The sequence below is a fragment of the Homo sapiens genome, chromosome 1, assembly GCF_000001405.40.
Source record: "Homo sapiens chromosome 1, GRCh38.p14 Primary Assembly".
In the NCBI taxonomy this organism is placed as follows: domain Eukaryota; kingdom Metazoa; phylum Chordata; class Mammalia; order Primates; family Hominidae; genus Homo; species Homo sapiens.
In genome coordinates, this window is record NC_000001.11 from 87,016,796 (window position 1) to 87,032,900 (window position 16,105).

A 16,105-nucleotide genomic window follows, 5' to 3' on the forward strand; every position below is an offset into this window, starting at 1 on the left:
TGTTGGAACAGAGAGTTGCTATAGGATGGTGGAGATTTTTGACCGTCAGTTTCTTTAATGGTTATTGGGTTTTTTTTTTTCAGGTTTTCACTTTCTTTTTGGGGTCAATTTTTATGACATTTTAAAAGGAACTTGGTTGTTACATATGATATGTTATCTTTAGGGTGCCTTAGGCACCTTAAAGCTTGAAAATTCCAAGCTAATTTCCAAGATTAGCTTGGAAATGAAGATTTAGGTGTTAACATGGGACTGAATGAGGTTTCTAGGCTGAGGCTGTAAAATTAAGAGTGCAGGGAATGAAGAACAAAATTTGTGTCTAGTGTAGCAGCCTTTCTCTCTCTCTCTCTCCTTTCTTTTTTGCGACGGAATCTCACTCTGTCACCCAGGCTGTAGTGCAGTGGTGCCATCTCGGCTCACTGCAACCTCCGCCTCCCAGGTTCAAGCGATTCTCCTGTCTCAACCTCCCGAGTAGCTGGGACTACAGGGATTCACCACCATGTCCAGCTAATTTTTGTATTTTTAGTAGAGAGGGGGTTTCACCGTGTTGACCAGGCTGGTCTTGAACTCCTGACCTCAGGTGATCTGCCTGCCTCGGCCTCCCAAAGTGCTGGGATTACAGGCATAAGCCACCACACCCGGCCTCTCTCTTTTTAAAATTACCATTTTCTTCATATTTATCATATGCCATAGTCTAGCCATTATAACCATATGTTATATATACATAGCAAGGAGAAATGTTCTAAGTATTAGCTAATCATGCTTGATAGGCATAGTAAGAGAAGACAGCGGGCACAGTCATTCGTCTTTTGTTTCAACAAGAGTAAACTTGTTAAAAACAATTGGCTGAAAACCCCCCAGTTATTTACATATTTGATGCTTTTTTATTTTTGATTTTTGATATATGTGTCCTTTCTTCTGGTTTAGGCCTATGTTTGCTTTTTTATTTTTGATTTTTGATATATGTGTCCTTTCTTCTGGCTTAGCCTATGTTTGCTTTTTTATTTTTGATTTTTGATATATGTGTCCTTTCTTCTGGCTTAGCCTATGTTTCCGAGGGAAAACAGGCCCCAAATCAGAATATTCAAATTTTGTATTTTATCCATCTATCCCCCACAAAAGTGTCTTGAATATGAATGGTTGTTCCCCTTTTTTAAAATTAGGAAAACAGGTTTAAGGAATTGATTTTACCTAAGGTTTTCTCATCCTTGACTCATTGGCTTACATCTTTATTTTCCATTTCCCAAGGTAAAACATAGCAGTTTGGAATTCTAGCTGAGTGTCCTACTCATCAATGTAACTCTCACCTCTTTATTTACCCTTCAAAGATAAATAAAAGCCACACACACACACACACACACACACACACACAGACACACACACACACAAAGAAAAAACATATTTACCCTTCGTTTACTGCCCTGGGAAAATGGAGATGAATCCTTTAAATATTTTTCCTTTGCCAGCTGGCACAGTATTAACTTTTGTCAGTTAAGGGTACTGACACAATGCCATTAAAGGAGGAAGGGAGCTTCTTTACTAGTTTTTGAGTGCTTGCAGCTTCCCTGGCTCCTAAAGTGCAAAATGGTCATCTGCACTCAATGGCCTGTAGCTTCTTGCAGAACCCTATACCCTATCCACCCACGAGGCAGTTTTGTAGCAGAGTAACTCTGCTGCTTTTGCTGCTTGTAGCAATAGCGTTTGGCTCCTGCAGTGCATGGAAACCAGCAGCACCTAGCAGCCAACATCTTCTGGGTGGTTTTATAGTGGAGTGCTTCCAGTGAGACACCACCCATGAATAGCTTTTCATGACGCTCTAAAGGACAGATTTCCAGCAAGTTCTGCTTATGTAGCACCACAGCATCTTCTGTGCCATCCAGTGAGCCATAGCTGTGACCTTTCCAACAAAATCTGGATCTTAGTCTGGGGATATAGTAGGTATTCTTTCTTGGCCATTCCGTTTTAGTTCTAAGGGTGGTGGTTGCGCCTTATCATGTTCTAGAGTTCTCCTTACTTCTTAGTAGCCAATCTCTGGTTATTCCAGTACTCTGTTTAGTTATAATAATGATTCTTTATGTTGAATTTTCCCTGTTCAAACTCCTGTGTGATTTCTAATTTCTAATTGGACCTTGACTGATATATTGTATGTTTGTAAAATGCATGGAATATAAATGGCTAATTATGATGTTTCTTTAGATAGGCATTCTTGAGCACATGTGTCTGGAATATATTTCACTATAATGTTAGTTTTGATGACTGTATTGATTTTCAAAACTGTCAGTTTAGAAACTAGAATTTTAGATTTATCAATCAGCAATGTGGTGTTATGTGGCTAATAGATTAGACATTCATCTGTTGATGAGTTAAAAAGCTCTCCCTGGAATTAAAATTGCTTATCACTGTATAGTACTTTGCATACATTTATTAATTTCCTTAGTAATTTTATGAAGCAGGTTGCAGGTATCACATTTCTGTAAGAAGGAATTAAGTCTTTAAAGTTCAAACGGTATTCCTTAATATCCTTGGATATTTCTTAACCATCATATACTGAGTTTACTAGGACATATAGCACTTGATCCGTTAAAACTATTACATGCAATGTCAGAGTTTGTATGTTGTAGATGTCTTTCATGTCACTCCTTCTCTGGGCCCTGCCCCCATCATAAACTTGAATAAATTTGTGAAATATCTTTTTAATATTTACTTTTTTCCCCAAAAGTCACAGTACATTAAATTGAATGCATTTATATTCTTATGTCACATTAGCATCACTTTAGCTTACTGGATAGTATTTTGTTTTTAGTTGGTTGCAAGTGTTGATTTTTCCTCTTTCAGTTTGCAAAACTATATGACAGGAAATCTGTAGCTAAATATCACTTTATGATTTCCATCTGTTCAAGTACAATAGTGTTTATGGCACAGTCCAGATTGCAATGTGATAGAAATATCCTATTATAGCAGATAGAATTTTAAATGATCATTGTACATTCTAATGAGAAAACATTTTTAAACAAGTACTTCACTTAATTTCAAAGCAGAGTAACTGAATAATACTACAATTTGATGACAGCATCTGTTCTACAGAGTGTGTTTGTGCTGTCAACAATAAAAACTTTTTCTGACTCCCATAGAAATCTATCAGTTTGCTCAAATCTGTACTAATAATGGAAGCCAAGTGGGCAGGGAGATTATTGTATAAGTCAATTTGAATAACCTTAAAATTTTTTGTTTCTATTAGCATGGAGAGTATCTCTCATTATTTTCTGTGAAATGACTTTGGGAGTAGAGCTGGAGATGTTATTTTGGCCTTTTTATTACGTGACAGTAAAATTTTTGCTAAATTATATTTTGAGAGTATTAACATTTACTAAATAAAAACAAACCCCTTTATCACAAGGAACTCTGGCCATTTCAAATCTTGTTGGCTCTAAAGTTGAGGGATACAAGAAAGCAGATTAAAATGATGGCTCCTGGAGTGTCAGGTGTTAGTAATTCCAAGGTTTTTAGTTCTCACAGTGTATATTTGCCTCTATTACACTGATGCAAATGCATCTTTCATGTCTGATCAGCTACTATTTGGTCATTCACTTTTATGCTTCCTATTCTAGTACATGCAGTGCTGAAATGAATGGGAAAAACCACTTTCCCACATGAATGCTCTACTGCACTTTTATCTCAAAAGGAGCATTGTATTTCTTGAGTTTCCAAAGGATTTTAGATACCATTCTTAATTTAATTATTTTATGGCCCTTTCTCTTTAGGTCTGTATTAGTTTGTGAGGGCTGCCATAACAAAGTATGACAGACTGGATGGCTTAAACATCTGACAGTTTTGGAGGCTAGGAGTTTGAGATCAAGGAGATCAAGGTGTTGGCAGGGTTGATTTATTTGAGGCCCCTTCCCTTGGCTTGTAGATCATCTTCTCACTGTGTCTTCACATAGTCTCTGTGCATGTCTGTGTTTTAATCTCCTCTCCTGTGAGGACATAATTACCTCTTTAAAGACCTTGTCTTTAAATACAGTTACATTCAGAGGTACTGGGGGTTAAGACTTCAACATATGAATTGGGGGTCAGGGAAACAATTCAGGACATAACAAGATCTTTAGCCCTCATCTAAATGAACCATGACCATAAACAGTTCTGAGCCTCATTCTATAGGTACATCAGTTTTCTTCTCTACCTTTGGTTATCAAATTCCTTAGTACCCCAGCTACTCCTCTTTTCCCATTTAAGATGACCTTTCTCCTATTCCAGACATTGGCTGGGAAGTTAGTCAAGAGGTAACTTAAGGAATTTAGTGCAGGGTGTCTACCTTAAGATTTTCACTGATTTGCCTTAAATCATGTTCTTCCATTACATATAAAAAAAATTACCAGCAGGCCTTGTCCTTCAGGTGTGTTTCTCACTCCCAGAATACATGTTGACTCCACTTGTCCTTCAGGTGTGTTTCTCACTCCCAGAATATATTTTGAATTTGTAAGAAGTACGCAGTTTAGACCTTGTTCAGAATCCATACAGTATTCATTAGTTCCCCCCTCTAGTCAATATTTGTAGGCCCTACAAACATTCCATGTTCTTCCATAAATCCCTTCTTGAGATAATAAAGAAGTATAGCCTTTTAAACCAGCTACTCAGCTTGCTTGTCAAATTCATATTTTCCAAACAAAAATTAAATAAGGCTTATCTGATAGTTGGTAGTTGACAATATTATTGGTGGTGGTGGTGTTATTTATTTATTTTGAGACAAGATTTCACTCTGTCATCCAGGGTGGAGTACAATGGCACAATCACTACTCACTACAACCTTGAGTTTCCGGGCTCAAGGGATCCTCCCACCTCAGTCTCCTGAGTAGTCGGAACTACAAGGTGCATACCACCACACCCAGCTAATTGTTTAATTTTTTATGGAGACACAGTCTCACTTTGTTGCATAGTCTGGTCTCAAACTCCTGGCCTCAAGTGATCCTTCTGCCTTGGCCTCCCAAAGTGCTGAGATTATAGGCATGAGCCACCAAGCCAAGCTGACAGTGTTATTTCATACCACCGATGATACTTCAGAGACCCATCAACTCTGACTATACATTTCAACCAAAAGTTTTGTTCTCATTTATTTTATGCCAAATTAGAAAATTATTTCCTACTTCTTATGTAGTTTGCAAGATCACAGAAGAATCTGAAAGTAACACAGTATTGTACTTTGAGTTAATTTCTATGTATGGAGGTATCAGGTATACTGTTTTGACCCAGAATTCCCAAAATTCTTTTGAGAGATTAGAAAGGAAAATTAGTAGAATGGGTGAAGTCAGCAGGTCTGTGTTGACAGAGATTATTTTAATTTGAAAAAAACAGTCGGCTGGTATTATTAAGTGGAAAAAATGTGGATCCTTTCATTTTTTAAAGATAATTTTTCATTACATTAAAAAATTCAAGTAAAATGCAAGGTGACCCTTAATAAGGTAGCTTTCTTACCTGTCATATTAGTAAGATTTACAAAGCTGCCAACACACCATTTTCACAGTTATGGGAAACAGACATACTCATATATTGTTATGAGCGAATACAGTCAGTTCTGCCATAGTTCAACATATATGTTCCTTGGCTGTGTTAGGCAAAATTGCACCATAAAAAACACAGAGCTTGTGAGAAAAATGAGATTAGGAGCACAACACTCAAAAACTTCATCAGTGACACAAAATTTAAGACCCTAATAAAAATTGTGGCACAGTTTTTAAAATACATGTTAAATGGCTAAGTACATGAATGGCTAAATAAAATAAACATGGTACTTTACCTTGAAAAAGACCTGAACTTTGCTTGTGGAAGTGGGCCCTAGAAGGGTTGCACCTTGTGAGTTAATAAGGTACCTTTCTTACCTATCATATTAATAAGATTTAAAAAGCTGCCAACACAGTGTTTTCATAGTTATGGGAAAACAGACATATTCATATACCATTATAAAGGAATAGTCAGTTGTGCTATAATAAAGAAGAGATAGTTCTTGTCCTCCAGGAACTCAAAGTCAGGCATATGCAACTCAAAATCTTCCATATTGGAAAGTGGTAGAGAAAGGTTATTCAAAATGGGTTGGAAACTTGTAACAATGAATGTGAATGGTTGTGGCTTGTGACACATGTGAGCTCATACCTCTGTAAGCTGAGGTGGATGTAGGAGGTACGTATGATTTGTATATGCCTACCCTGCTCTGTTTAGCTAGGTACAGTTTTCTACATTTATCTGCTTTCTTGAGGATAAAATCAAGCATAAACAAATACAAAATTTGTGTTATGTCCAAATTGTTCCCAATATGTCAATTGTGTTGTAACAAATTCAAATTTCAAAGTTAGTGTAATAGCAGAACTAATGAGTTGGTATAACTTTTATGGAGAATAATTTGGAAAAAATATACAAAATTTTAAATGTACATGCCCTTTTAAAAATCTGCAAACTCTAGTTATCCTAAAGATAAATAACGACTTATGCAAAATGATGTATTTACAAGGATATTCATTGCAGCAGTTTTTTTTGTCATAAAAAAAGATCATAAGCATCCTAAATGTCTATTCATAGATGAGTGGTAAAATAAGTTCTGGTTCATGCATTCTGAGAATTACCGTGCTGCTGTTAAAGAAAACCACTTATACAAACTGATGTGTAATGTTCTTCAAGATATGTTAAAAAAAAAAAAAGTAGGGTTTAGAATAGTATGTATAACATGCTATCACTGGCACAAAAATATAATATATCCTTGTGTATCTCTATGAACAGATTAACACTGAGGCATATGCTAGTATCTTGATATGCCAGACTCTGAGTTCCTTAAGGACAAGAACTGTATTTTATTTATCACTCTGTCTTCAACAGGTAGCATAGTGCCTAGCTCATATTAGGTGCATGATAAGGATATATTGAATGGGATAGATGAATGTGTCTTAACATTCATGTCTCAGAAAATATGATAAACACAATTCTAAATGTAAAATTGAGGATTATTCTAAGGTATCGTTTGTGTTACTATTTTTTTTCAAGCAATGACTTATGCTTAGAACATTACTGCATTTTCAGATTTTGATTTAAATATATCTATTGAGGTCATGCCGCCACTGGGACATATCCATAGTAGAAAACAACTGATGAAGAGCCATTGGAGAAAGGGCTAACAGGACAAAGAGCAGAGTTGGCATTAGGAGGCATTATTTAAGTTCTGTGTTTCTCCAAAGGACAAAAATAGAACTAATGGATGTAGAAGATATAGGGAGACAGATTTCAGCTTAATATAAGAGCATACCAATAGGTATTAACAATTTAAAGAGCAGTGTCTTAAAGACTTTTGGTGGTGGTTATGCAGAGATTGCTATCAGGATTAATGGAAGGAGGAAGCATGGTGAAATTGAGAGATCAGTAGTCATTTTTAAGAATCAGGCAGATCTGGCTGGGCGCAGTGGCTCACACCTATAATCCCAGGCACTTTGGGAGGCCAAGGCAGGCAGATCATGAGGTCAGGAGTTCAAGACCAGCCTGATAAATATGGTGAAACCCCCGTCTCTACTAAAAATACAAAAATTAGATGGCGTGGTGGTGCACGACTGTAATCCCAGCTAATCAGGAGGCTGAGGCAGGAGAATCTCTTGAACCCAGGAGGTGGAGGCTTCCGTGAGCCGAGATTGTGCCATTGCACTTCAGCCTGGGCGACAGAGTGAGACTCCGTCTCAAAGAAAAAAAAAAAAAAAACAGGAAAAGAAAGAATCAGGCAGATTAGGTTTGAGTGCTCTGCCACTTAGGGACTATTGTGACCTTGAGCAAGAAACATAACCTTTTAAATTTCCTTAACTATGAAATAGGGATAATTAAATGTATCTCATGGGATTGCTGTAAGGATTGAGAAAAGGTAAAGTACCCTACTTCATGTTATGTTAAGCCCTCAATAAATGGTGACAATTGCCATTGAAATAGGAATACTTTTTTAGGTAGAAGGTATATGGTATTTGGTTTCTAAGGTCCTTTTTCAACCTGATATTTCCTAAGTTTTATTTTACCTATTTTAAGTAAGAAACATTTATACATCTGTGTTTCAATTGTATTATACCAAAAATATAATTTCTGAATTGTGAGAAATTGTTTATTAAATGCCTATATAACAATCATGCTTAATGTATGTTTTAATTATTAAGAGATGATTTGCATTTAATTATCTAAGGTCGACTACCACAGTAGAGACTGTAACAGCCATGATTCCTTCAGTAAAACAGAAATTCACTATGCATTTCAGTGAGGGACTATAACATAGAGAATTGGTTACATAGGTGTCAGAGGATTGAATGAGCAAAAGTGAGAGCTCTGAGGTAACTGAGTGATAATAACTGCTGAAAGCAGCTAACACTTCTGGAACTGGAGAAGTGAAGAACAGGGGACCTGCAGACTGGGACTCAAAGACCTGAGGAGATGGTCCTGCCTGGCGGCTGTTGCTACCTGTAAAGAATTAGTATGAAACTTGAACCTGGAACCCAACAGTTGTGGCCAAGGGCAAAGTATTGTTGCTTGTAGGACACCTACAGCAATATCAAGTAAACAGGGAACACATTTGTCATGCTTTCTAGTCTCCCTCTAGTGTTCCTTATTGGCAGAACCTAGCAGGAAGCCAGATGGCAAATGGGAAATACAGTTTTCAGATCCTCAGCCCTAGGATCACAAAGCAGAGTATAAAAGGGTAAATTTGGAATTAAGACACAATAGCTTGACAAATGCACAGAGACATCTGTGTAGAATATCTCATATTTTAACACCAAATTTATGTATTTTTCATATAGAAAATTTGCATTTTAAAATGTTTTTGTCTAGAAGGAATTTGCGTGTACATATACTTTCCATCAATAATTTAAGATGTGTTCCTTTCAGAAAGGATGACTGAGTTCACTAAGAATTCCACATAATTTGCTTTTCTCCCCACAACCCCCAACTCTTGCTGAAAATTTGATATAAACCCTCATGAATCTCTAGGAAACCTTTTCCTTCTTTATTGCATGTGATTCTTCCAGGAATTAAGATTTGCAGAATGTAACATGAATTAAAAATTAAATTTGAAATATTTGCAGTCATATGTTTATTGTTACTGAGTAAAATTGCTAGTGTGGCTTCAGTTTCTTGCAGTTAAAGCAGGGTGGACTTGTAGAGCTGAGGCTGTTTCTATGATTTAAAAGATACTGTGTTAAAAAAATATATTCTTATTCTTCTTTGCTAAAGTGAGCCAATAGATTGCAACTGTATTTTTGATTAAATATAGTTTGATATTTTTGCAAATTATTTTTTTAAAAGATACTAGTATTCACAGCAAATGTGCAGACGTAACTAAGACATCCCCACACCTCTGTTACAACTAGATATGTTCATTCGATTTTGGTAGTTATACAGTTCCCAGTGAAGTCACCAATGTTTATTGGCCCCTTCCTTCACTGAGATACGTTCATGGGTTCTGATGAGAAATACTTGTAATTATTCTAAGAGCATGCTTTAGCATGCAACCTTGGTAAAAATATGGTAGGATCATACTCTTAAAACATCTTTTCTTTTGTCTGAGTGCAGGCATTAGGTAAATTATGTCACACACAGCACTGCAGTGATTTATAGAAGTTAAATAAATGTTCGTAAGTAATCTTAATACCTTTAAAATATTTTGGGAGGTAAGGTTTTACATTATGAAAATATTCTGAGCATTTTATAAAATTATTCAACATTTATACTTTGGTTATAGTTTTTGTTAAATAGGAAATATCTAATTATATAAAAAACGGGATATATTGGCAGAGTTTCTTAATAGGAGTTCTTTTTGATGTTTCCTTTCATCTCATTAGTTACAAGGTTTAAATTCTATGCCCTAAGTTCATTGGCATTTCACAGGTAGACTTTTTGCTGCTATTTTCCAACTTTAGATGTGTGAAGCCTGTACTACAGCCTCTGGATGAATGGCAACATAAAACTAGGGTCTTCAATTACCAGCTTAAAAAAAGAAGATATTAAATATAAATATCAGAAAACTTGATTATAAACACTATTGATGGGAAGAAAAAAAAACTTGATTAAAATATCCTGAATTGTAAGGGGACCCATTCATTAAGATATTGATTATAATAGTGAAATTTAAAGTCAACTGGTTTTTCTAATTTATGTTAATCATAATTAACCCTCCATAACATTGTAATACATGTTGGTAATAGTCTGAAGCAGACTGTTGTATGTATAGAAACAATTTCTTCATATTTTTAACTACCTGAAAATATGAGTAAGTTAACAGTAGTTGAGAGTAGTACAGATTTTTGGTTTTGAAATACCATTAGAATAGCAGTGTCACTTTTTAAGCACTGTGCAGCTTCCTGTGTTATTCCCTTCTTTGTCCAACTGTTACTTTTTCTTATGAGAGGCTTCCACACCCTATTTGGTATCCACTTTCTTTTTATCAAATAAAGATAATTGCATAATGAAACTACTGTGATTTCATGCCCTAACTTATTCACTGTCTTTGAGTTTCATAAGATAAGCACTATAATTAAAGTCATTTTACCAACAATTAGTGGGAAGGAAGCATACAGTGGACAACATGTTTTAAAATCATAGAAAGGAGGAATGCATGATTTTAGAAATCTGAATGAGAACTCATAGCATGTAGAGCTCAAATTATTCTTCCTCAACTAGCAGCAGATCAAAATAGGTGGTGGTATAGTTTGAAAAAGCATATTTAACATTATCACATAATTTTATACTGGGAAAATGAAAATAAAAAAGATGATGTTTTGTAATACAGTCCACATGAGTAAGGTTTGATAACTGGTGGGAGTGAGTAGTTACAGATTCTCAACTGAGAAGGGTGGCAAAAAAAAGGCTTTTATATTTATCAGAATGGGACATAGATGTTTTTTCTTTTTTTGAGACAGGGTCTCACTGTCACCCAGACTGGAATGCAGTGGCACGATCTTGGCTTACTGCCAACCTCTGCCTCCTAAGTTCAAGAGATTCTTTTGCCTCAGCCTCCCTAGTAGCTGGGACAACAGGAATGGGCCACCACACCTGGCTGATTTTTGTATTTTTTAATAGAGATGGGGTTTCACCATGTTGGCCAGGCTGGTCTTAAACTCCTGACCTCAAGTGATCTGCCCGCCTCGGCCTCCCGAAGTGCTGGGATTACAGGCATGAGCCACCACGCCCGGCTGGGACATAGAGTTTTAAAATGTTAAGAAATGCTACCTTAGATTGTATCTGGATATCTTCTGGTATTAATTGTTGCCTCCCTTTCCTGTCTCACAGGTCTGTCATAAGATTTATTTTAAAGTTTAAACCAAGTTCTAGCCTAACAATAGAGGGTAACTACTTTAAGTAGACAATTTCACGTACACTACTAGACAAGTGATTTTCATGTCAGGAGAACTCCAAACTGAGACTCCCATCTAAGGTACATCTGGGCCACAATTTCTAAACTGTGTGCCAAGAAACTCAAATCCTCACAAAGGTGACTCAAGGCCAACTCAGAGCCAGGGGAGAAGCCTGCTGGTCTTCCAATCGCCCTTCAAATAATTTATGTTTTTTACTTAGTTTTCAAAAGACTTTACTGGGAGAAGAAAATAGTTTTACTGTCTTAAAAAAAATAATTTGGGTACCCATTGAAGAGTATCCCAACAAATAGCACCATTTTCTTTCTTGTGGCTGGCATAGCCAGTTGAGGACATTCTGTTTTTTTAAAAGAGCGTTTCTCACTGTTTTCCCACATGAGACTGACAACATTGTTTTATTTACCAGGCTGTGAATAAACTGTAGAAAATTAGAAAGTGGATTAAAACCTTATTTTGGATATTTTAACAGTGGGTATATACCATATGTTAGATACATGTATACACACACGTTTTTGCAAACTCTAAATTTTGGGAGAATAGCAACATATTCCTAAAGGAATTTCTAAAGAGCAGGTACTGGATAGTTGAAAAGAATTACAGGAAATGACTAGTGTAAAAACGGAAAAGCTGATATTTTTGAAATTTACTGCCACTGTTCTGTTATTATATTTGTACTAAAAATAAGTTTCTTCTAAAAAGTATAGTTTCTGATTTTTGTTTTTAATCTCTACTGAAATCAGAGCCTACTTTATACAAAGGTAGTGAAACAAAGTTTGCCCTAGTGTTCTATTCCTGGTTGAAATAACCAGATGCACTTAGTTTTAGACATGAGGAACAAACTTTCCCAAGTGTTATCTTTTTATCTTAATATTTTAATAAATAGTTATATAAATATTAGCAAATCTAATCCAGCAGTGTTTTAAAATAATAAATCTGGACCAAGTAGCATTTATCCCTGGAATGCAGGGATGGTTTAGTATTAGGAATTATACCTAATATAATTTAGTAGATTAGCAGACTAAAGAAAATATTATGTGAGTCATAAACCATGTATGGGCACTTTTGCCACATAGGTGCAATGTTTTAACAGTCAAAAATAACCACCTTCTTTTAATAGTGTCATGTGAATTATTCTTTTTTTGCATTAGAATTTCTACACATGGTTTCTGTTACTATTGTACTGTTATTCTAAACATTTGTTTGATTTTAAGTCTTTATATCTTTTCTTAATGTCATTCAGCAGGGCGTCAATAGTAATTCTGAAAAATATTGTCCCAGAAATCAGTAACTTTGGGGAAAAAGTTAATTATGGTAAAATGTAGTGAAGAAAACCAAACAAATTGATGTTAAATGAGAGACAAAATTGTACAAAATATTAGTGATAAAGCTGAGAAAAGGCAACAGTAAAACAAAAATGTTGCAGCGATTATAGATTTTTGTGCTCTCACACCATGTCATGTACAGTTTCTTTTTCCTATGGGAAAATTAATACTCAATACTGAGTTTTGACTTATGTGAAATCTACAGGAATAAATACTTTTCATACAAGAACAAAAAGAAGAGGTACCTAATTTAGCTAGAGCAGGACAGGAGGATGATGGTAGGGAAAATGACTAGAAAAATTTATCCAGATGAGGAAGTCAAAGCTTCAGAAGGTGAATAAACATATTCAAGGACACTTACAAATGGATAAAGTCGAAGTTTAAGTGTGTTGGTCTTAGGAGTAGAATTGAGTATGACTCTATAGTATGCTTACTACTTATTTTGGTTTCTTGCCCAGAAGAAAGGTATTTCGGTAAAAAGGAAAGCAAATTTGTATACAGTTTTCCTTTCAAATGCAGAAGAAGCAAAACACGCTAGCACTTACAAATATTAATTTCAGCTTGCTCTTATCTGTGTTTTTGCCAGTTTGTAGGACTTGCTAAAAAAAATTACACAGCCCTGGGGTCCTTAGCTAACCAACACATTCTTGTTACTGACCAGGATATGCTGGTTGACTGTTTTACCATGTGCGTTAAATTAGGAGAAAAAGATATACAAGTTCATTTGGCTTTTATGTGCACAGAATCTTTTCAAATTGTAAAAATAAAATTACCTATCCACTGGAGGATATCTTGGGCCAGGAGTTCAAGACCAGCCTGGGCAACATAGGAGACCCTATCTCTACAAAAAGTGTAAAAATTAGTCAGGTGTGGTGGTGTGTGCTTGTAGTCCTAGATACTTGGGAGGCTGAAGCAGGAGGATCGCTTGAGCCCAAGAGTTCAAGGTTACAGTGAGATATGATCATGCCTCTGCACTCCAACCTGGGTGACAGAGTGAGACCCTGTCTCATTCATTCATATACACAGACATGCATGCACACGCACACACGCACACACACATGCCTCTCCACTTGAAATAAAAATAAGTTAATTCAGTATTTTGAAGAAATCAGAGTATTTGACTTAGTAATATTTCTTTCCAGATTTTTTCTAAGTAACAAAGAAATTTATTTGTATATTGTGATATGATTAATCCTTCAGTTAATCTAAGTTTAGCCATATAATGCTTTCTTTCTACTTTGTCTCTTACTCGAATAATAAGAAAGAAAAAATTTCACAGACAAATATTTCTGTTCTTCCAGTGTCCTGAATACAGAGTAGGACTGTAAGAATTTTAACTAATTCTTATTATGGGGTATTATGCAAAGCAAAACTATACTGAGAGTCAGTTGTTTTATTCTCAGGTTCTGTAAACTGAGACTAAGTTGTTTGGTTCTTTAAGTCTCAGTATTGTTTTGTGTTTCGTTTTGAGATGGAGTCTTGCTCTGTTGCCCAGGCTGGAGTACAGTGGCCTGATCTCAGCTCACTGAAGCCTTGATCTCCTGAGGTTAAGCGATCCTTTCACCTCAGCCTCCTGAGTAGCTGGGGCCATAGACTCACGCCCCCACACCCAGCTAATTTTTGTATTTTTTTGTGGTGACAGGGTTTTGCCATGTTTCCCAGGCTAGTCTTGAGCTCCTGGCCTCAAGCAATCTGCCCGCCTCAGCCTCCCAAAGTGCTGGGATTTCAGGCATGTGCCACGTCACCTGGCTAAGTCTCAGTGTTCTTATCTCCAAAATGGGATAGGCCTATATCCGTGGAAATACTGCTGCTGCAGCCCTATTCCAGACCAACTAAATCAGAGTCTCTAGAGGCAAAACTCAGATATACATGTTTTCTAAAGTTTTCTGGATGATTCTCATGTTGGGAGTCATCGTTGAGAACCACTGAACTAGATTATTTATAAGATTCATTCTACTCAGAGTGTGGTCCACGGACTGGCTGCCAATATACCAACTGTTTATTGCCAGTCCTCAAGTACATGTGCAGCTAGCTTGTGCCAAAATGTAAATCAGCTAAAGCACTAGTGTGCTATTTAGTTTGGTTGCATTCTTTTTTTGGTAGCAAGACTATTGATTAAGGAAATAGTAAATTTAATTTACACTTTGGTACAAGCTCCTTATTTGGTTTCAGACCAGCAGTTGGAGTAGCACTTCTTTGAGTTCTTTCCTAGTTCTTAAATTCTGCGACTGAATATATAATATATGGTTGTTTAAAATCTGCTGATCTACAATGTTATTGCAATACTACTGAACATTATAATAAACAGAAGGTTGTTATTTAGATAATGGAAATGGAAGAATTTGGAAGGTTAAAAATGTTGGTGACAATTTTTTAAAGAAAAAATGAAATGTTTAGGTGCCAGTCTTCTAAAATGGAAAAATGTTTCATTCAACCACCATATTATGACTAATATTTTATGGCATAATTTACTGGTTCAGTGCACCATTCTTTCTTTATTGTTGCAAGAGATAATTGAATTACACATGGCTAATTATTAAAAATGATTGCAGGGCAGTTTTAAAATGTAAAAAATTCCATGTGATATTTAATAGGACTTCAATAGTGGTAGCTGAAGAAAATTAAGAAAATAATTGCTCTTAAATATATCAGTTAATCAGTAAACACTGTTCTGCAAATAATTCATATGGAAAGGATTGTTTATGAGTAGACTGATAATACCAGGCTCACGAGAAAGTTTTGACTATTATAGAAAAACATTTAAAATTCATGGTATGATGTGAAACTTTTAACTTGTAACCTTTATTTTTGAAGACAGTAGTATTAAAAACAGTGTTGGGTGAGAATTAATCTATTTTGGATATGTGTTTGTGTCAGGTCTCTTTCCCAGCCTTGTATAACTTTATTTGTTAAAGGACGAAAAAGAGACCTGAATATTATACTGCTGATTTAATACAAAGTTCATTCTGAACCCCCACTGTCAAAATAAATTAAGGTCAATTTTGATTTCTCTCAATACGTTTGAAACTCCCTTTTTTATTATTATGATTTCATTTATAGAATATTATAGGAAATTATTTGCTTTAAAAAGTACCTCAGGACAAGTATTCACAGATTGTTCCAGATCAGCAGTTACAGCTCTTTACTATCAGAGATTAATTTACAATGTAATCAGGATTCTCCTTATTCATAGTCCTGCTTATTATCTACCTTGAGTTCTTGTTCTTAGTAAAAATGCATTGTTCTTTTTTCAATTATTTGGACAGTGAAGGTAAGCCTAATAACAGATATTGTTGGCCTAAAAAAACTATGAAATGTATATATGGAACCCCAGTATAATTAAAAGTTTTGAATAGGCTATATGATGGGTTGACTCCACAGATTTTCTGGGTAAACAGCTGACTCAGTTAG

At 35.6% G+C, this 16,105-nt stretch overlaps 1 protein-coding gene across 2 annotated transcripts in view, besides 2 other annotated features; it reads left to right on the forward strand.

Annotated features, from left to right (window-relative positions):
• HS2ST1 (heparan sulfate 2-O-sulfotransferase 1) overlaps positions 1-16,105 on the forward strand; it is a 195,348-nt gene that overhangs the window by 102,161 nt on the left and 77,082 nt on the right. The gene's annotated exons all lie outside the window — the stretch shown is intronic.
• Positions 468-637: a silencer, noted in NCBI's record as "fragment chr1:87482946-87483115 (GRCh37/hg19 assembly coordinates)". NCBI's record gives its function as "represses an EF-1alpha promoter that drives an FKBP-Casp9 reporter gene in an ReSE screen in HepG2 liver carcinoma cells {active_cell/tissue: HepG2}" and the evidence as "EXISTENCE:reporter gene assay evidence [ECO:0000049][PMID:32094911]".
• Positions 14,209-14,258: an enhancer, noted in NCBI's record as "active region_1285". NCBI's record gives its function as "activates an Ori minimal core promoter by ATAC-STARR-seq in GM12878 lymphoblastoid cells {active_cell/tissue: GM12878}" and the evidence as "EXISTENCE:reporter gene assay evidence [ECO:0000049][PMID:35858748]".